Source organism: Homo sapiens, chromosome 14, assembly GCF_000001405.40.
Source record: "Homo sapiens chromosome 14, GRCh38.p14 Primary Assembly".
NCBI classification, from domain to species: Eukaryota; Metazoa; Chordata; class Mammalia; order Primates; family Hominidae; genus Homo; species Homo sapiens.
In genome coordinates this window covers 19,864,173-19,886,961 of record NC_000014.9, presented here as the reverse complement: position 1 = coordinate 19,886,961, position 22,789 = coordinate 19,864,173, and the positions used below count along the sequence as shown (strand labels likewise).

The 22,789-nt window shown below is 36.0% G+C and overlaps 1 protein-coding gene and 1 pseudogene across 2 annotated transcripts; one reads left to right on the top strand and one right to left on the bottom strand.

The window, feature by feature from the left end:
• Positions 1–3,029: 3,029 nt before the first annotated feature.
• Positions 3,030–11,820, bottom strand: OR4K2 (olfactory receptor family 4 subfamily K member 2). Its single transcript, NM_001005501.2, has 2 exons — positions 10,828–11,820; positions 3,030–10,717 (listed from the first exon to the last, which is right to left on the bottom strand). The coding sequence occupies exon 2, from the start codon at positions 10,692–10,694 to the stop codon at positions 9,750–9,752; it is 945 nt and encodes a 314-aa protein (NP_001005501.1). The 5' UTR covers positions 10,695–10,717; positions 10,828–11,820; the 3' UTR covers positions 3,030–9,749.
• Positions 11,821–17,788: 5,968 nt separating this feature from the next.
• Positions 17,789–18,765, top strand: OR4K3 (olfactory receptor family 4 subfamily K member 3 (gene/pseudogene); annotated as a pseudogene). The gene has a single exon (NR_145507.2). The product of NR_145507.2 is annotated as an olfactory receptor family 4 subfamily K member 3 (gene/pseudogene), transcript variant 1, non-coding (transcript).
• The last annotated feature ends 4,024 nt before the right edge of the window (positions 18,766–22,789 follow it).

The following is a 22,789-nucleotide window of genomic DNA, read 5'->3' as shown; positions in this document are numbered from 1 at the left end:
CAGCTGTCTACCCAAAAGAAAATAAATCATTATATCAAAAATATATTTGCATTCATATATTTATGGAAGCACTGTTTACAACAACAAAGTCACAGAACCAAACTAAGTGTCTACCAACAGCTGACTGGATAAAGAAAATGTGATATATATACACCATGGATTACTACATAGCCATAAAAAAAGAATAAAATGTCATTTGCGGTAACATGGATGAAGCTGGAGGCCATTATCCTAAGTAAACTAACACAGAAGCATAAAATAATATTGCATGTTCTCACTTATAAGTTGGGACTAAAGAAAGGGTACACATGGACATAAAGATGGGGAAAATAGACTCTCAGAATTCCAAATGGGGGCATGCAGGGGGTAGGTTTGAAAATTTCCAATATATGGGTAATGGGTACACTAGAAGCACAAACCCCACCATTACACATGTAATACCTATGTAACAAACAAGCACATGTACCCCCTGAATCTATAATAAAAATATTTTAAAAATTGGAAAAAAAAATAAAAAGAAGAAAGACATGACTGGATCAGAAAACAATAATTAAAAGGAAAGAATAATAACAATATTCACCAAAAAGAGAATGAAAATAAAGAAATATAAATTATAAATAAGAAACAATAGAAATTCTAAAGAGAAAAAATAAAATATGTAAAATGAAAATTCACTAGAGGGATTTGATACCAAATTTTAGGTGCCATAAGAAAGAATCAGCAAACCTGAAGATAGATCAATAGAAATTATGAAATCTGAAAAAAACAAGAAAAAAAGTATGAAGAATAATGAACAGAGCTTCACAGACTTGCAGGACACAATAAAATTATAGCAAAATGACCAAAATGGAAGTCCCAGAAGGACCAAAGAGAAAGGTGCAGAAAAACATGTGATACCTGAAAAACATACCTGAAGACATCCCAAAATTGATGAACCTTAATTTTCAGATCCGAAAACCTTAACAAACTTTAAAGAAGATAAACACAAAAAGATCCATACCTATTATAGACTATCATACTCAAACTGTTGGAAGACAGAGAGAAAATTCTGAAGTCAGTAAGAGAAAGCCAACACATAGGATAAGGAAACCTCATTAAAATTAACAAGTGACTTTTCACTGGAAAAGACAATGGAGGTTGAAAAACAGTAAGATAGCATATTGAAATTACTGAAAGAAAAATAGCAACAAAGAAAAAAATCCTTCAAAAATAAAGGTGAAATAAAGATAGTCCTGGATTCAAACAAAGAGAATGATAAGCAATTACTAGATCTTCTCTACAAGGAATATGAAAGGAAATTCTTCAAGCTGAAATAAAAAGACACCAGGGAGTAACCTCATTCAATATAAAGAATTAAAGTGCACAAGTAAAGCGAACTATGTAGGTAAATATTAAATCCTATATAAATGGGCTTTTTTCTTTTTTTCTACAACCTGATTTGAAAATCAATTGTATAAAATAATTATAAAGCTTTATTTTCTACTTATAAATATGAGATGTAATGTGTGTGACAATACCAGCACAAAGAAGTGGGAGGAAATGAAGGTATACTGAAACAAAGTTTCTATATTTTACTGGGACTAAATTAGTATTAATATGAAGTAAATTGTGATAAGTCAGCATGCAGGTTGTGATCCCTGGAGCTGCCACAAAACAAAATAACTCAAAAAATTACAGTTAAAAACCAAGAAAGAAATTAGACTTGTTCACTAGAAAATATCAACTAGATAAACTTCAGATTTCATATCTAGTTTTTCTTTCAGCCACTACCTTGCTAACCTATAAGCAACTTCAGGTACACCACCAGCTTCAGAAGCAACAGCTTTGCCTAGAGTTCTCCACTGATTCTTATTATTGTGTAATGTCTAATCCGTATAATCAATTCTTTATTACGTGTCACCCTTAGTGGTTCAGCTTTCCTAATCAAATCCTAACAGATACGTGTACTACATTCAAAAACAAAATTGTCTAAAAACTCTCCTTATTCTAGCATCTTCACAGGGTTTTGACATTAAGCTTAAGCTACGCCCATAAAGACAGCTGGAGAAAATGTCATTATATTCTGCTTTATGTTTATGATTTTTCTCCTTCTCTTCCCTTATTCCTGTTTAGTAATTTTTTCTAATTTCGTATATAGAACACTAAGCTTACTGTTTTTTCTCTTATGTTTTAACTTGCACATTTATGAATAGACATTTGCTTCACAAGTGTTGATATTAAGTCTATTTGTATTACTCAGTTCGAAATGTTATTTTTAAATTTTATTTTTCCATAAGTTATTGGGGCACAGGTGGTATTTTGTTACATGAGTAAGTTCTTCAGTAGAGATTTGTGAGAGCCTGGTGCACCTATCACCTGAGCAATATGCACTGCACCATATATATATATTTTTTTGAAACAGAGTCTCGCTCTGCTGCCAGGCTGGAGTGCAGTGGCATGATCTCGGCTCACTGCAACCTCCGACTCCCTGGTTCAAGCGATTCTCCTGCCTCAGCCTCCTGAGTAGCTGGGATTACAGGTACGCGCCACCATGCCCAGCTAATTTTTGTATTTTTGGTAGAAACAGGGTTTTACCTTGTTGGCTAGGATGATCTCGATCTCCTGACCTCGTGATCTGCCCGCCTCGGCCTCCCAAAGTACTGGGATTACAAGAGTGACATATTTTGTCGAATTATCTTTTTGACTGATGGACTTACTTGCAAAGCATTTTTTTAAAATTTCCAAAGGTATAGGGTTTATTTTTGGGGTGCAGTGGGTGGGTAAGGAAGGACTATTTATCATTTCATTATTTTCATTGCTTTGTGATTAGATAATGTCTTCCGTAATTACCGACTTTCTGGTATTTATCAAGACGTTATGGCCTACATGTTAATGTGTTTTTGTAAATGTTACATGAGTTTTAAGTGAAACAGACACACAGAAAGACCAGCCTCAATCTTATTTGAGCTACTTTACAATATATTCATAATTTGTTCTTTTCCTTTAGGATAAGAAGTCATTTCATGTTTTGTAGCATAATTGCTTTATAAGTGCAGACTTTTTTTCTCCATGTGTGAAATGTGAGGTGAGGAGGGCAGATCAAAACGGTCTCCAGGTACAAACAGGGATTCAAATTTATTTTATTTAAAAAGCAATTGAGCTGCAAGAGAGGTATCTTTCTTTAAAAAATTGGAAAAGTTATATAAAGATGTTGATGATTCAATTACATGTTACTCTTGAAGAACAATTTTATTTAGGTACATTTTAATATACTTAAAGGAAATTTAGAAATTTAAACGTTTTAAAATCTCTTGAGTGCAATAGAGTCCTATTTAATTACTTTAACTACTATTTAATTATTTAACTACTAATATAAATATCAGAAGGATTATTAATACCTCCCTCCAAAAATTAAAAGATCAGTTCCAAACTTCTAATTATATGGTATGCTAGGGTGAGTGAAGAAAAATACAGGCTTTGCAGACTCCAGACAAAGTGCTTACAAAGAGAGTCATTATTTCAATTTAAGATAATCAAGAAAATAAAGGAATAGCCAATGAAATTACAGTACATAAATGTTTCAAAGAAACTTGCCAACACGCCAGAATTCAGAGAATAGGGTCTTCAAGAAGACTTCCTGAGGAATATAGTAGAGAATAAGCTTCAGCCAACAAAAATGGTTAGAGATATCAACTACTACAGCAACAACAGCACTATCATTCCCAAAGAGATAAAGCAAGACATCAAGATCTTTTGGATGAAAAAATATAACATCATCTGTCATTTGTCTTGCAAAAAGTATCAAACTAAATATGATTAAGCTGCTGGATAGGCAATTTGCAGAAAATGCAGTGACAGAAGTCCATGTTGAACTGTACCATGAGCATGCAATCAGCATATTTCAGACTCTGGGAGACCCTAGATGGTAAATAACTCAGGTTTTTCAAAAGATAAATTATAACCCCTTCTCTACTAAAAATACAAAAAATTAGCTGGGCGTGGTGGCGGGCGCCTGTAGTCCCAGCTACTCAGGAGGCTGAGGCAGGAGAATGGCGTGAATCCGGAAGGCAGAGTTTGCAATGAGCGGAGATCACGCTACTGCACTCCAGCCTGGGCGACAGAGCAAGACTCCGTCTCAAAAAAAAAAAAAAAAGAAAAAAAAAAGAAAAAGAAAGATAAATTATACAGAAATTGAAGAGATAGTGATAGTGAGACTTGTAGGCTACAAGAAAAGGAAACAAAGTTGGTGAGGCCAAGTTTGAGTGTGTATGGATGTATATTTGAGTATATATGTATTCATGAAACTGAAAAGAAATGCAAATAATTTATTAAGTCAGGGTAATGGTTAATTTTGGAGGAGAGAGTTGTCATCGAGATGAACAAACTTGAGGACTTCAGGGGTGGCTGGCGAAGTTCTATTTTGTGACTTGAAATGTGATTATAATGGTGTTTGCCTTGTAATATTTCATTAAGCTAAACATGTTTGTGTATTTTTCTTTACCTTGCTTTTACACTGCAATAAAAAGGTTATAATAAAAAAATTAAAGTAATGGATATTGATTGATTGACGGAGTCTCCCTCCAATCCACCCTCTATTAGCATGTTTTCTGTTGCATAAGAATCTTGAAATCTACAAATTGATTTTTGAAGCCAAGTTTCTCTGTGCAAAATAGATTCCACCAATTAGATGCACCAAATGAGCTTTAGAAAGCACAAGTGAGGCAGAGGGATCTACTGATATAATTGCCGCTGGTGAGCAAGATGATGATGAGATGTGAGGGAAAGCAACTGTGGCAGCCATACCTGTGTCCAGTGACTATTCACCACCTTCAAGAGTGCTGAGGGTGATGAAGGAGTGGCAATGACACCAAGGCTTTTTGCCTTTTGCCCTTACATCACATTACTGGGGTAATGTGCTCTGGAACACAATAGCTCCAGTTGCAGCCTCCAATGCATGTTCCTGTAAGTCTTTGAATTATTCACAAGCATTTAATACATTGTATTAAATCTGCTTAATTTACCCAATGGTTTCCGTTTTCTTAACTGTAGGACAACCAATATAAGTACACTCAAACAAGAAGAAAAAATTGATATAAATATATTATTATATAAAAACAAATTACTAATTAAATTGCTATTTCTAGTCTCAAACTAAAAAAAAAAATCTCTCCTTTAAATTTTCTTTAACAGGTGGCAAGTGAGCAAAGGGAGAAAAATCTGGCTTTTGTTGATGGCTTCAGATTCCTAGTACAGTTAAAACACAAAGAAAAAAGGCGAATTAACAGTGGTCTTGCATTTAGTAGTCATAAAAAGGCTAATGGGGGAAAAAAACCTGGAGCCTCCAGCCCGAGAACATTTTTTAATTTAAAAAATAGGTATTCATCTCCTTATATTGGCAGTGTAAATTATCAGAGTAAAAAATAAAAATGAAACTATAGTATTTTAGTGCATACTAGATATTGGAATTTATTTGTTTGTTTTACAAAAATCAAAGAGAAAAAATAACATGTCAATTGAGTTATATTAGCAACAATAGAGACAGAATACATGAATCAATGATCCCAGTCACATTTCCAGTCTCATTTGAGTGTTGGTCCTACACGCTCCAGAATAATTTGTGCATATTTACCTCATGGTGTAACCAAGAGCATTAAAAATAATTCCAAACAACAAAGCACAACAGAAACTTATAAACCAAAAAACTATCAAGTTGCTTAGCGGATTTCATTGGCATCTGAGAGTACATGCAAGAAGTTCACATGAATTAGATTTCCCTGGCTGTTTTCTTCTCCCCGTTTTTCAATTGACATATACATCCAAAAATCATGCAAAATAATATCAGGGAAAGAATAGGGAAATAGGAGGATTACTCCAACTCTCTCAACAAATTTTGCTATAACTGAGTTGTTTAAAAACTCACATGTAGAGAATAGATTCACTGGTAGTTTTTTAAATTTGAAAATACTTTCATAAGGAGTCTGGATATGCACAAATAACAGCATTTTACCAAGAACTTCTATATAGCAGCATAATCCAGTGATCACATTATCCTAAACCCTTATCAATGCAGAAAAATACTTCACATAAGACAGCTCATATAATACAAAACTTCATCTATCTACTAATCTATCCATCTGCCTATCTCTTCACCTTAATAATATGAGTCAAACATCATTCTTATTCTGACAACAATTGTAATGTGAATTCATCCTAAAATCAATAAACCAATTTAATATTTATTCATTGTAAAGAAGCAATAGCATAATGATTAAGCAACAACTTGATACTTCTCTTGATTAATGACAGTTGTGAACAGACAGAAAAACAAGTTTCCAGAAGCTTTAATTAATGTAAGAACCAGTGTAATTTTCTAGTGGAAGTTACTTTTAATTTTTCAAATTAATACTGACACACATATACAGACATGAATATTTAAAACATATAAATGAAAATTTACCTTTTAAATTAAACAAGTCAAGTGTTAGCTCAAGAGACTATCAAGTCCCATAAACAAAGATATCCAGAGGTTATCACCCAGAATGATACAATGACTAACATTTATTGACAACCATATGCTTCATATTATTTGCTTCTTTTATGCCTCAAATAACTCTGTGGTGTAGAGACCACTATTATCTCCTTTAACATATGTAGAAACTGAGGCTAAGAGGTATTAAGTACTTAGCTTAAGTTTACACCACTAGTAGTAGAAGTAGTATTAAACACTGTTTAAAAAAAAAAAAGATACCAGAGTCTAAGACTTTTAAAACTACACATTAGACTTCAGATTCTGCAGAGCCTTTTAATGCAGGGGTGTCCAAAGTTTTGGCTTCTCTGGGCCACATTGGAAGAAGAATTGTGTTGGGCCACACATAAAATACACTGATACTAAAGATAGCTGATGAGCTTTACAAAAAAATCACAAGAAAATCTTATAATGTTTCAAGAAAGCTTATGAATTTGTGTTGGGCTGAATTTAAAGCCATCTCCTGAGCCGCATGCAACCTGCAGGTCATGGGTTGGACAAGCTAGGCTTAAAGCTTATACAGTTTGAGGACACCTGTTTCAGGAAAAAAAAATCGAAATAACTAATAAAAGGTTGTTAGTTTCCATTCTAGGGCCTTCGAGGAAATCCATGCAAAGGAGGAGTTATAAAACCTAAGCTTTACAAGCTTTATGGTAAATCCACCATCATTATACCATATAGTATTCTAAAAGTTTTCTTAAGCATTTTTAGAAACAAACATAATTTGTAGTTTTTATTGCTATTACATATATCCAGTTCCTTCACATATTAAAATTTACACTTTATCTGTTTTTATCTATACCTGATTTTTAACAGTTTTTCCATCTGCATTCAATTGTTGTCAAGCTTCACAGCTTCCTAAACACGTAGAGGAAGATGAAGTTGCTTGTCAACACACTCTTCTTATAAATGCTCCAGAACTCCCTCAGTTGTGTTATTGCAGATAGTGCAGATCACTTAAAATTATACTTGCCTGCTTATCTTGTATTCTCTGCAGAACATTATCTCTGTCTCTGGAAACTCTGGTGGCAGCTGGCACCATCCTTACTATTGCTTAACGAGTCCATGGCCATGTCACTGCAGTTATCCTTGGTGAAAGAGTGTCAGCATCTTGTCTAAGAGATATATCGATAAAACCAACCACCATGAGTCCTAAAGTCCTAACTAAGATTTTTAAGTGTTTATATAACATGCAGAGGTACCATGAATATTGACTCCTCACACTAAGCCACCGAGAAATGTGATAGTTCCATTTATATATGTAAGCCCTCCAAAGGCTTTCTGTAATCCTTTTTATTATCAGCCACAGAATTTTACTATCAATCCAACTACTTAATCTCATTATTGACTTGCCTTATAGAGTTGTCTGCTGATCAGCTACACCTTTGAGGGTATTTTGGCAAATGTTCTTGAGTTTTAGAATTCTCCACAAAAGCACAGAAAATCAATAGCGTCTCTTCCAAAAGATTCCACAGTTTTATATTGCAAAAAGCAGCACAGTTTTGAAAATATTCCCTGGACAAAGAAATATGTCAAGTAAAAGAATTATTTCTAGCATTTTTAAGCACCAGCTAAAACATTCTACATAAACGAAGTCCTTGAATATGAACATATTTGTACATATAACTGCAACCAAGAGAAAGTTCACACTCAAAACCTAAATTGGCCTATTTGTATCCCTATTTAAAATAGAATTATGCTAATCTTGTGCTTACAGAAGCATGTTTTATTTTATGTTAATACTGTAGACGTTATTATCTAATAATTTCAAAACTGCTCAGGCTTTAAACACAGTATCACAGACTTTCAAGCTGTAAGTTTTTTCCTTATTTGCTTAGTACATTAATGAAGAAATAAAACACAAACTGATGAAGAAAAAATAAATTCCTTTTATAACTTGGTTTAATATGAACATCTAAGGATTTTCTGTTTTAATTATCTTTCATAAATGATAATTAATGCATTTCATTTGTTTTCTCCATTTACTCAATCATACCAGAAAATAACAACTTGATATTATCAAATACTGTGGTTGCAACATATCTTTCCCTTTGTGGATACATGTTGGATCATATATAAGACACTATATTTTATCAATATCATTTAGAAAATTCTAAATAAGAGTTAACTCATGAATGTTTGCCATCATTTAAAGATGATTTGCAAAGTAGGGTATACACAATTATTTTTCCTCTTTCAATACTTGCAATTCCAGTTAGTACCAGCAGGTGGTAGTAATACTTTGTATACATTAAAGCTAATATTGAACCTACCAGATTTATTTATAACAGTAATAAAACCTATTTGTGTACAAAAACATACTTATTACATTGACAATGTATTACTAAATGCAGATTCATTATTTTTACATCCAAATATTTCAAGAAAAAAATAACCAAAATGGAAAGCAATATAACACTTTAAAATGAAAGCATGGACTCCCCATAAATTCAACTGTTATAAACTGTGTCTCTCAATTCTAGTTTTAACTTCTTAGGAACTAAGCAACCATCGTGTCTGCACAAAACAAAGTGTACTGATCTGCAACTCATTTCATATTTTCTGATTTGCAGAATTCTCCAGCCTCCCTACTCATTCCGCATTATCAGAAAGAAATATCATGACTGTATTGCTTTGATGATGAACTAAAAGTGGTTGGTAAAGATTGCTACACTTACGGCAATTTTATGGACGTCATTAACATTCGAAATAAAATATATCTAGAGTTTTCTTTAATAGAAGAGATCACAAATTGGTTTAAATGTTAAGTAGGAGTGGCTTGGGAACGTATGTGGAAAATCATTGCTTCTCTGTCAGAGGCTAAGATCCTACAGCAGTATGGAGTTCCTAAGGATTATAGGAATCTTGCTAGCTTGTCATACTTTAGGAGCATCTCACTAAGTGACTCAGTTGCTCACTGTGGGTAATTGTCATTATCTCCTAGTTCTGCTTTAATCTATATTTCTTCTCCTCATTCCTTGGTCCTCTTTTCCAATAAATTGATTATTGATATTGAATGTCCTAACTGGAACTGTCACTCCTGACATTTTTATAGTCTTTATTTCTTTTAACTTGCTTTTCTGAAATTTCAAATGTATTTTGAACACATTCACATTCATGAGAATAGTTTCAAAATGCACTGAACTTGAGCCCTCACAAATTCTTGGCAATTACAATTTGGTAAGAACCCTCTAGAAAGAAAAGCCTAACACAGCATTGTGTCTAATGTTCTGTGTCACAAAAACTATGAAGGCATTGCCTTATTAAAATTTAGAAACCTATTTTTCAGTTTCCTCATGGCTATCTTTACTTCTTGATTCCTCAAAGTATAGATTATTGGGTTCAGAGTGGGAGTAAAGATGGTATAAAACACAGACAGAATCTTGTCTGTGAGAAAGCTGCTTAGTGGCCACATGTAGATGAAGATGCATGGCCCAAAGAACAAGAAGACAACAATGAAATGAGCTGTACAAGTAGAAAGGGCCTTAGATGATCCTCTGGAAGAATGATGCTTCACAGTAACCAGGACAATAACATATGAATTAAATAAAACAATAAAACAGGACAACGCAATTATGCCACTTGTTGAGATCATAAAGAGGCCCAGAACATAAGTATCCACACAAGCCAACTGGAACACCACAGGAAGGTCACAGAAAAAGCTGTCTACCTCATAGGGACCACAGAATGGTAACGTGAGGGCAAATATGACCTGACTCATTGAATGCATAACTCCCATAATCCAGGAAGCCACCACGAGAGCAACACACACCTGGGGACTAATGACAGAAGCATAGTGCAGGGGCTTGCATATTGCAATATACCTATCAAAGGACATGGCCATGAGTAAGATGATCTCAGTTCCAGTGAAAAGGTGGAGAAAGAATATCTGGGTAAGGCAGCCATCAAAAGAGATGGTTTTGTGACCTGTTAGGTAATCTGTAATCATCTTTGGGGTGGCGAAAGAAGCAAGAGACATATCAATGATTGAAAGATTGGTAAGCAGGAAATACATAGGAGAGTGTAGGTGAGGGTCCACTATAACTGTGATGACTATGAGGCTGTTACCCACCATTGTTGCCACATAAAGCAATGAAAACACCATAAAGAAAAACATCTGTAGTTCCCAGGAATTAGAGAGCCCCAGCAAAACAAATTCAGACATGGTAGACTTATTGCCCACATCCATTGTCTTGATTCATAGGCAGAAGCCTGTATCACGAAAAAAAAAAAAAAAAAAAAGGAAAGTCAGATTCAATAGAAGCAAAAGATTCATTTCCAATTATCTACTTTCAGAAATTTTATCTTCTCATAAAACTTACCTTGACTATTCTTTCCATCCTTCTCATTTGGTATATTGTTTTGAATGGAAATTATGAAATATTAGAGCTTATAGCAAAATGTTCCTTAAATCATAGGTATTGAAAAGAACACTTTCTTTTCTGATACTAATGGCAATCCAACCAAGATAATATCATTCTGAACAGACATACCTACCTATTTGTCCATCTATTCATCTGTGTAAGTCTAACGATAACAGTAAGAACTTACTTTATGCTGACAATGTGTGAAACACACATACACATACATGTTTAGTCATTTGGAATTTGTCCATAAAGATATCCTTACTGATGAAAACATATAAAAATTATATCACATATAAGGGCTCTTAAGCACATTATAGTGAAGTTTCGATGGACAGTTGTAGAGCTCTTGTAAATTTCCAGAGATGAACTGTTAAAGTATTCCCAGATAAAGTTTCCTGTTTGAAACTCAAAAGAAATACATAGAAAGTTAGTTTTGCTGATATTCATCCAGAGAGACTAATTTATTACAATACAGTCATACAGACAAAGGAAAGGCATTTAACTTCTTTTGGTCCTTTCTTTTTAATTAAAATATGACTGTGTTCCTTATAAATATTTATAATTCTATGATTTAAAATTTTATATCACAAAGGATATATAACAACATTTTCATGGGAAAGTGCTCAAAGATCAGTCTCTTTCATTTCACCTCTGTTTGAATTCTTCTTCTGTAAATGTTAACATATGTAAACTGTTGTATTGACCTAAGCTTCATGGAATAGGGATTAGGAAATGGGAGTGGGAAGGGCAAACATTTAAAATATTTCAGTAGAACTCATTTGTAAAACACTTTTACTTATCAGATCTATAGAAGAACCAGGGCTTTAGATTATTCAGTGTTAAGTAGGCTTCTGACAGAGCATCGAAGGCAATTTAAAATATAAATAAATGACCTAGTTGAATCATTAGTTGTGTATCAGCTGTGGATAAAATGGATGTTGTAGGGACATGGGAATTGAACAAGAAATCACCTTGCAATGGGATTTATTAAACAACAAAGATGGCATTATTGAGTTGACAAAGGAAAGATATTTCAAGAATCTTATGGGAATTTACAAAGATTGTTTTCACCTGGACCTGAGAGAGTCAGGGACTAGAAGTTGGGAAAGTCCTAATTTCAAAAAGCAGCAGGAAATATCAAATCAACTAATTCTAATAAGCACTCTTGGTTCTCTAATGCTATATTAGAAGCAACGGAGAACAAAATCCAAACATTCATCTCTGCTTCAAGTAATTTACAGTTATTTGGAAATATTAAACACCTATAAATAAAACAATTGGTGAAAAATACCACCAAATAAACCTCATGTTCAGTCAATTCTCAGAGACCATGGATGAACTAGACTTTAGTTAAAAACAAAAACAAACAAACAAACAAAACTGGTAATGTGCAGAATCAATCAAGCAAGTGTTCTTGCAGGAGACATGTCATGAACTTGACTTAGAATGAAAACTAAAATATTAATTGGCAGAAGAAAAAAAATGCACGGGGAAGGAAAACAGTGCAGCTTATTTGCCATGAAACAGGATATTTAGTTAGCAGTTTAGAAGAGCAAGACTGCCTTTCTAAAAATTTAACTTGATATAAAAGATAACGGGTCATTTTAATGTCAGGGGCAGAATTATGATTATTTGAAAGCAGTATTATGTAAGCATTTATTTAGATAGTTTGGAGAAGGGAGAAATTTAATACAGATCATTTAATGAAATGGATATAAGGAGATAATTTTGACTAAGTTACCAGAAATGTGAATGTGATTGTAATTAATTAAATGAGACATCCAAGTAACTGTCATTATGAATATTTTTATTTATTGAATACTAATAATATGATTATTCTCCTGTGCAGTCTATGTAGTAGACTGAATTTTTTTTTTTTTTCAGACAGAGTTTCACTCTTGTCACCCAGCCAGGAGTGCAATGGTACAATCTTGGCTCACAGCAACCTCCGCCACCTGGTTGAAGCGATTCTCCTGTCTCAGCCTCCAGAGTAGCTGAGATTACAGGCATGTGCCACCATGCCCTGCTAATTATATTTTCAGTAGAGGCGGGGTTTCACCGTGTTGGCCAGGCTGGTCTCGAACTCCTGACCTCAAGTGATCAGCCCACCTCCACCTCGCAAAGTGCTGGGATGAACAGTGAGCCACCATACCCAGCCGACTGAATTTTAGAAAATCAAAATTGATTACCTTTTTGTATATGGCTCATCCCTTCAGGGACCTTCACATGCTGTGGAAGGAGTATAACCCTCACTTTATCTACCAGAACCTTGGATACATGACTTTGTTCAATGTAATGTGACTAGAAGTATCATATGCCACACATGAGCAGAAGTTTTAAAAGTCAATGCGTGACTCCAGCACTGTTTATATATTTTATTTTTTAACTCATCAGGGTCTTAGGATAAATAGAATAAATACAAAGAAACATTGAGAGATAGACACACATGTGCGCGCGCGCGCGCGCGCACACACACACACACACACACACACACACACACGGGAGGAATACAGAATGATGAGATATTATATGTAAATATGGAGTACCAGCCAGACCCTAGCCATCTGATACACTCCAGGTGAGGCACAAGATATGTTAGGAAATCCGTTCTGAAAGTTCCAGTACCAGCGGAGCTCCCAGGTAAATAATGCAAGTGCATGAGTCTTTCCTACAGACCGGAGAGTGGCACCTTACATCTTTCTATTGTCAAAGTGGTTAAGCTGAGAACTACAGTTCCCAGAATTCTTTTCTACACGTCTTTCCGTATTGGAGTTGTCTAAAAATAAATGTGTTTGGAATTTGAAAAGCAGCCCAAAGCACCAGCCATTACTCTCTGATCTTTGTGGCTATACAGATGCAGAGGTGCCAACAGCTTCTAGCTTGTTTTGTTCTCAGCCACTTCACTCTGCGTCCACCTTTTTCCCAACTTCTGAATTGGAGGATCAACAGAAGCCTCAGGCTGCCTGCCTGCAGATCCTCAGAAGCAGCAACTGAACAAAAATTTTTCTACCAGCAAAATTTTCTAAATTTTGCTCCTTTCATGACCTCTACTTCATTGGCTAGATGGGCTTGGTTTCTCGATTGACTGGCTATTGCTGCCTCTGATTCTGCAGCTCCCTGTTTCATGTCTTTGCTTTCCTAAGTCCTTCCAGAATTGTTTAAGGTCTAATTCCTATGGTAAATGCCTTATCCTACAGTGCATGGTAGCTCTGCTTTCTAAGTTGAACTCTATTTCTTAACCTAAGTCAAAACTAACAATGTAGATAAAATCAGAGATGTTTTGATTTTATCCCTGACATTCCAACATGTCAATCCTATTGTCCCCTATCATCTCCCTCTCCTTAGAGGTAAATATATATATATATATATATATATAAATAGGTATATATATGTGTATATATATAAAAATAGGTATATATATGTGTATATATATATAAATAGGTATATATATGTGTATATATATATAAATAGGTATATATATGTGTATATATATATAAATAGGTATATATATGTGTATATATATATAAATAGGTATATATATGTGTATATATATATATAAATAGGTATATATATGTGTATATATATATAAATAGGTATATATATGTGTATATATATATATAAATAGGTATATATATGTGTATATATATATAAATAGGTATATATATGTGTATATATATATAAATAGGTATATATATGTGTATATATATATAAATAGGTATATATATGTGTATATATATATAAATAGGTATATATATGTGTATATATATATAAATAGGTATATATATGTATATATATATAAATAGGTATATATATGTGTATATATATAGATAGGTATATATATGTGTATTTATATATATATACACACACACACACACACATATATATACCTATTTAAATATATATGTGTATATTTAATATATTTAAATGTTCCTCCATGGGATTTTATTATTTTATATTCCTTCTGGCATTACCTCACTGTAGTGTCATCTAGAGCAGGTGTTCAAGCTGCTAGAATTTTGCTGCCTGATAGAAACATTTACCATATGATAGTTGATATGTGGTATCTCAATGAATTTCAACATATGTTCATATAAAAAAGAGTTTGAGCATCTTTTCTATAGAAAATAGCTATTTGCGCTTTTTTCCCATTTTATGCAGGGTTCTTGGTCTTTTTATTGTCTAATTTAATAGCTTTTTATGTACTGATATACCAGTGCTTTGTTTTTTTATCTCTCAGTGCAAATGAGGAGATTGAGATTTATGATAATGTGGTGATGTACTCAGTATAATATAATAAAGTCTTGTACTGTGATGTAAACTCAGGCCTCCAAATCTGAGATTCAATGTTCTTTATATTACACTAGAGGCATATAATGCAGTTTCATCAAGTTATTTCTTTTCATCTTATGAATACAAGCTCTGTGAAATATAGTCAAAACTTTCTTGTTAATAGAGAAATATTTAAGTATGGGTGGCATTTAAATTTTATTGATTGTTATTCTGATTTTTAGCAGATATTAAAATTTTGATGATTACTTCACATTCTTTACATAGTTAGAATTTATAAACCAGAATTTTTTCACTTTTCACTTTTTTCTTCCATTACTCCATAATGATTCAAGTGAATAGTACAAAATTTAAATTCTCGAACATTCATTTTATTATTTTCTGTATCAGTTTTTTTCCAAATGGGGATACACAGGCCTTATACTCATTTGTTAATGGAGGAACTGGGAGATAACACTTGTAGTCTCATAAGTCAAATAATAGATACTATTTGTCTTGTCTTTGCTGTGGTCCAAGATACGCGTTATTCTTTATATTTTCCCAGCCAATCACATCCATGTCCTGTACATGAAACATTTACGAGCAATCATGCATTCTGTAATTCACCTTTAAATATGGCCAAACCAACTAGAAAGTTTTAATAACTCCCACTGCAACTTGAACATTTGTTTATTCCCCAAGCAGCAGCTGGTCTTTTTCTTGCCATGTAATTCACAAAATTATTTCATATCAATACAACTGTCATAAATACAAAGGTCTCAAGGACTGTGAGCCTCCTTTCCCCAGAAATTAGGCAAGGGATTCACCTAACTTCACTGTGACGCAGTTGTCCCTGCTTTCAGGAGTTGGTTATTATATTACATGTGTGGAAAGGATCTTAAAATTATCTAGATCAACACCCCTATTTTACATATGAAGACTTGGAAGCATCGGTTGACTCAGTAAATTACTTGATCCCACACTCCTAGGACAAGATTTCAATTCCCATTTTCTGACTCTCAGGTCACTGTTATTTCTGGTACACCAATTTAAATGAGTGCTGTGCTAGAGACTTCTATTTAAAAATCAGGTAGGTGAGTACAAAAGAAATTTAAAAGTTTCTGGGATGGGTAAAGCTAGAAGAACAATGTGAAGGTTTTTTGTTTATTTGTTTTTCAAAGGCCACAGCATTTTTAATAGAAAGCGAAAGAACAATAGGTAGTTGAATGAGTAAATTGGGTTTGGTCTTAGAACAATTTGTTTAGAATATATAGTTGTAACAGAGGTTTGAGAAGAAAAGAAAAACAAATGCTTGGATTAGTAGAAAGATGAAAAAGTTTTGTTATGAATTTTGAGTACACATCATTTCAATTGGCTTTCAGTGCACTTTGTAAATCTCAGATCTCAGTGAGACAGAGATTTCCTTAATCAGCCAAGTTACAACTTTTGAGGTGCGTTATATTACATAACTTATAAATTCATTACTCTCTTCTGTCTGATGTAAACTTGTCTCAACAGTTGCTCCATGTAAACTCTGGAAACAGGAAGAGTGTTTTTTGTTTCAAACAGCTTCTGTGAAATCAATAATTTCTAGCATTTAAAAATTGCCTGGCTTCTGGCAGCATGGTATTTAACAGTCTTTCTATTTAAAATGTACTTAGAAATGTATGAGTACTTCAGGCTTTAACCAGAACATGTTCATTAGCCTCTGAAAAATGTATGGCATTGGTGACATACATCAAGTGTCATTCATAATATCTGCATAACTAAAATAAAGGACAAATAATTAGAGGTGATTTCACTTTTTTTTTTTTTTTTTTTTTTGAGGCAGAGTCTCACTCTGTCACCAGGCTGGAGTGCAGTGGCACGATCTTGGCTCACTGCATCCTCTGCCTCCCGGGTTCAAGCGATTCTCCTACCTCAGCCTCCTGAGTAGCTGGGATTACAGGCGCATGTCACCCTGCCCAGCTAATTTTTGTATTTTTAGTAGAGACAGGGTTTCGCCATGTTGGTCAGGCTCGTCTCGAACTACTGACCTCGTGATCTGCACACCTCGACCTCCCAAAGTGCTGGGATTACAGGTGTGAGCCACCGAGCCCAGCCATTTCACTTTTATTCTAGACAATCTCCACTGGAAAATTGAAACAGATGATGTTTCTCTGTAGCCATCCTCCTTCCCTCATGTTTGATTCCTTTTTCCTAGCCACTGCAAGAGACCAGTGCCCATATCCTTCCCACTAATAATAAGCTTTGATCCTCAAATATTCCTCCTCCGTCTTTCACCCTTCATGATGTTTGAAAAAGGTTTTTACTCCCTTTTCTTACAAAAGGCTGCTGTCAGCAAGCTGTGAAATTTAAAAAGTATTTCACAAACTGAGGAGTAAATATTTGAAACCATTAATTTTTACTTCTTTTATGAATATTTGTATTTTACTTGTAAAACAAATTGCTAAGTCATAAAAAATAATATGTAATTGAATCATTTGAAATATCTAGGAAGGCCATTGGGAAAAATTTTTGGCCACTGTGAGTCTGGAAAAGAGACAATAGGGAACTATCTGATGGTAGGCTGCCACTAAATTAGTCTGTGCAAAAATCCCACTTTGAGTTTGATTGCTATATTTTTTCCTAGTTCTCCTCCCAACTGGAAATGCTAGAGTCCTTCCAGAAATCAGAGCAAATGGCCTGGAGCAATCAGTCTGCGGTAACCGAATTCATACTACGGGGTCTGTCCAGTTCTTTAGAACTCCAGATTTTCTACTTCCTGTTTTTCTCCATAGTCTATGCAGCCACTGTGCTGGGGAACCTTCTTATTGTGGTCACCATTGCATCAGAGCCACACCTTCATTCCCCTATGTACTTTCTGCTGGGCAATCTCTCCTTCATTGACATGTCCCTGGCCTCATTTGCCACCCCCAAAATGATTGCAGACTTCCTTAGAGAACACAAAGCCATCTCTTTTGAAGGCTGCATGACCCAGATGTTCTTCCTACATCTCTTAGGGGGTGCTGAGATTGTACTGCTGATCTCCATGTCCTTTGATAGGTACGTGGCTATCTGTAAGCCTCTACATTACCTAACAATCATGAGCCGAAGAATGTGTGTTGGGCTTGTGATACTTTCCTGGATTGTCGGCATCTTCCATGCTCTGAGTCAGTTAGCATTTACAGTGAATCTGCCCTTCTGTGGACCCAATGAAGTAGACAGTTTCTTTTGTGACCTCCCTTTGGTGATTAAACTTGCTTGTGTTGACACATATATTCTGGGGGTGTTCATGATCTCAACCAGTGGCATGATTGCCTGGTGTGCTTCATCCTCTTGGTGATCTCTTACACTATCATCCTGGTCACCGTTCGGCAGCGTTCCTCTGGTGGATCCTCCAAAGCCCTCTCCACGTGCAGTGCCCACTTTACTGTTGTGACCCTTTTCTTTGGCCCATGCACTTTCATTTATGTGTGGCCTTTCACAAATTTCCCAATAGACAAAGTACTCTCAGTATTTTATACCATATACACTCCCCTCTTGAATCCAGTGATCTATACCGTTAGGAATAAAGATGTCAAGTATTCCATGAGGAAACTAAGCAGCCATATCTTTAAATCTAGGAAGACTGATCATACTCCTTAATTTTCCTCATAGGAAAATAAAATACCTGTTCAGCATTTATCCCCCTCATTCAGTTGGTCAACATATTGATGCTATTGCAAGAACTCAATTAGTTCATGGTAGAACTGTTTCTGTAATCAGCCTCAGCTGTCATGAAGTTCTGGTCATATTAATTGTTTCTTACACAACCTAACATTTACTATAGAGCATTATAAAATGTATACTTAACATTTTAGTGTGAAAGGACCCACAATGTCTAATATTTATTTTTTTCAGATCTATCTGAATATAATTTCCTTTGAGACTTTCACATGTTTTAAGAAAGAGTAGATTTCCTCCCTATCTCTAGCAATAGTCTCTAATAAAAAAGACAAGTATAAAAGCAGCAGCACCTAGTATAGTACCCTATACACTAAAGTAGCAATAGAATGTTTATTGCTGACAAGAAGCTAATGAATGTGGGTTTTTTGTAGCTCAAAATTCAGAAGGCAATAGAGGGTTTTTGGTAAGTAAAAATATTTGCCATTTAATATGTTTGTAACCCATTGTGGGTAAGAATAGGAATGTATCTTACTTATCTTTAGTCCCTACGTTCCCTAGAGTGGACTTCATAGTTTTAAAACAGTATAGGAAACTCCATGCAAATTCTTATAGTCATATCTATATCTATGTGTATCTATCACATCTAGCTATCTGTCTATCTATCTATCTATCTAAAAGATTAAAAGGAACCTAGAGTACTATACAACAAATCTCATCCATAGCCCTGTTCTACAAAAGATAAAAATAAGACCCAATGATACACTAGGTTTTTCAAAATCATGCTAATTAGAGACAAAATCTACATCATTCACTTAAAAATATAGATATTTATTTCCTAAGCAGTAACAAATTGTTTTGGTGTCATGATGTTTACTGTACCATTTTTTTAAAAATTTTTTTAGTATTTATTGATCATTCTTGGGTGTTTCTCGGAGAGGGGGATTTGGCAGGGTCATAGGACAATAGTGGAGGGAAAGTCAGCAGATAAACATGTGAACAAAGGTCTCTGGTTTTCCTAGGAAGAGGGCCCTGCCGCCTTCCGCAGTGTTTGTGTCGCTGGGTACTTGAGATTAGGGAGTGGTGATGACTCTTAACGAGCTTGCTGCCTTCAAGCATCTGTTTAACAAAGCACATCTTGCACCTCCCTTAATCCATTTAACCCTGAGTGGACACAGCACATGTTTCAGAGAGCACGGGGTTGGGGGTAAGGTTATAGATTAACAGCATCCCAAGGCAGAAGAATTTTTCTTAGTATAGAACAAAATGGAGTCTCCTATGTCTACTTCTTTGTAGCAAACACAGTAACAATCTGATCTCTCTTTCTTTTCCCCACATTTCTCCCTTTTCTATTTGACAAAACCGCCATCGTCATCATGGCCCGTTCTCAATGAGCTGTTGGGTGCACCTCCCAGACGGGGCGGCGGCCGGGCAGAGGGGCTCCTCACTTTTCAGATGGGGCGGCCAGGCAGAGGCGCCCCCCACCTCCCGGACGGGGCGGCTGGCCGGGCGGGGGCTGCCCCCCACCTCCTGGACGGGGCGGCTGCCGGGTGGAGACGCTCCTCACTTCCCAGATAGGGCGGCTGCCAGGCGGAGGGGCTCCTCACTTCCCAGACTGGGCGGCTGGTCAGAGACGCTCCTCACCTCCCAGACGGGGTGGCGGCGGGGCAGAGACACTCCTCAGTTCCCAGACGGGGTCGCAGCCGGGCAAAGGTGCTCCTCACTTCCCAGACTGGGCGGCCAGGCAGAGGGGCTCCTCACATCCCCGACGATGGGCGGCATGGAAGAGACGCTCCTCACTTCCTAGACGGGGTGGCGGCTGGGCAGAGGCGCTCCTCACTTCCCAGACTGGGCGGCCAGGCAGAGGGGCTCCTCACATCCCAGACGATGGGTGGCCAGGCAGAGACGCTCCTCACTTCCTAGACAGGATGGCGGCCGGGAAGAGGCGCTCCTCACTTCCTAGACGGGATGGCTGCCGGGCAGAGATGCTCCTCACTTCCCAGACGATGGGCGGCCAGGCAGAGACGCTCCTCACATCCCAGACGGGGTGGCGGCCGGGCAGATGCTGCAATCTCGGCACTTTGGGAGGCCAAGGCAGGCGGCTGGGAGGTGGAGGTTGTAGCGAGCCGAGATCACGCCACTGCACTCCAGCCTGGGCAACATTGAGCACTGAGTGAGTGAGACTCCGTCTGCAATCCCGGCACCTCGGGAGGCCGAGGCTGGCAGATCACTCGCGGTCAGGATCTGGAGACCAGCCCGGCCAACACGGCGAAACCCCGTCTCCACCAAAAAATACAAAAACCAGTCAGGCGTGGCGGCGTGCGCCTGCAATCCCAGGCACTCGGCAGGCTGAGGCAGGAGAATCAGGCAGGGAGGTTGCAGTGAGCCGAGATGGCGGCAGTACAGTCCAGCCTCGGCTGGGCATCAGAGGGAGACCGTGCAAAGAGGGCGAGGGCGAGGGTGAGGGCGCTACTGTACCATTTTTTAATCCAAAGCCACATTGTAAATAGTGGGGTTTAAAGGATCTGAGCCATTCTCCCTATGGTTAAACACAGTATTTGATGTAAGGACTTCATTAAACAGAGGTTCCTCAACATATATATCTAATAAGTGGAGGTTTTAGAAAATACAAATCATCTAGTCAAATCTATTTATTCTACAGATGATGAAATTGAGAACCAGGGAATGATGTTACTTTCCCAAGTAAGCTATTCAATGAAAGAATCTAGCATAAAAGATGCTCTCTCTCTCTCTGTCTCTCTCTTCCTTTTCCTCTCTATTGAACTAGGGCCAGATTATCTCCAAGAGCATTTTGGTCATTGTCATTCTGAGAGCTACATGTAGAAGAAATGTTTAATGTATAAAACTGAGCTATTGTAATCACTAATAATTAGCCAATTCCCTAGAATTGTCAAAATTTACATAATATTCTGAGTAATATTTCCTTAGCCTGAGTATAAATACAGATGGATATTTAGATGACTGATGAATAGATTTTAAGGAGTCGAATAGATAAAATAGCCAATAGGTAAGTATATGGGCAGATAGATTAATAAGTTGATGGATGGGTGGATACATATATATACATATGGCAATATAGGTGGATAGATAATTTAACAACGATAAAGAAATGAATATACATCTTACTATACTGACTCAATAGTTTCTATGGGTTTATATTGAGCCTGTACCAACTGTAAACTGCCTTACTTGTTTAAAATTGCTGTAAAAGTTAAGGAAGTTGGCATAGTTAAAAAGACGTAATCTTAAAAGTGTTTCTTGTGATGAAGTACAGCCAATTCAATTTATGAATGTGTTTAATGATTACTGGAGAGATCTAATAATGAATAAAGGTTAAACAAAAAATAGTAATAATGTTCTTTATTTATATGGCTCTCGGAACATTATAAACCTGCCTTCTCAGTCCTTGTAATAAGACCAAATCTCTTAAGTTGGGTTGTTCATATTTTGTTTTAGTCAATGTTCGATGGTTGGCTGATTGAGGTTGAGAATATAGTATAATTGTTTCCTTATCAGGCTATGAATTTTGTGTGCCTGTTCAGCATCTTAATATATACATTACCGGAATTATAACCAAATAAATGTCATGGTTTCCATTATATTAAAGTTTGCATATGCTGTAAAGTAAAGCCATCAGTTCTAAGCCTTAGGAAAGCAACCTGGGAAATTAACCCTAAGGAAAAAATACAGATAGGTCATATAATCACCAACCTAAGAAAATTTGAGTAAAGGCGTATTCCAGTTCCCATTCTAATCCATCCATTGATGGAGTCCTCTCTTTCCCTGCCTCATATTGTCTATTGACAATCACTTATCTGAGCATGCTCTTTAATCTTTGATTCTCATAGTCACAGAAAAGCCTAACACTGAGTGTCCATGGTTCATTGTTAAAGACGTACCTAGCAAACACTTTAAGGGACTATTAAGTATAATTTCAAGATGCTATGTCTTAAACTCCAAGAGTTGTTGGTCTAATCAAAGCTAT

What these genes read in the sequence shown, in the direction of transcription:
- OR4K2 (NM_001005501.2), bottom strand. Translation starts at nt 10,694, where the DNA reads ATGGATGTGGGCAATAAGTCTACCATGTCTGAATTTGTTTTGCTGGGG.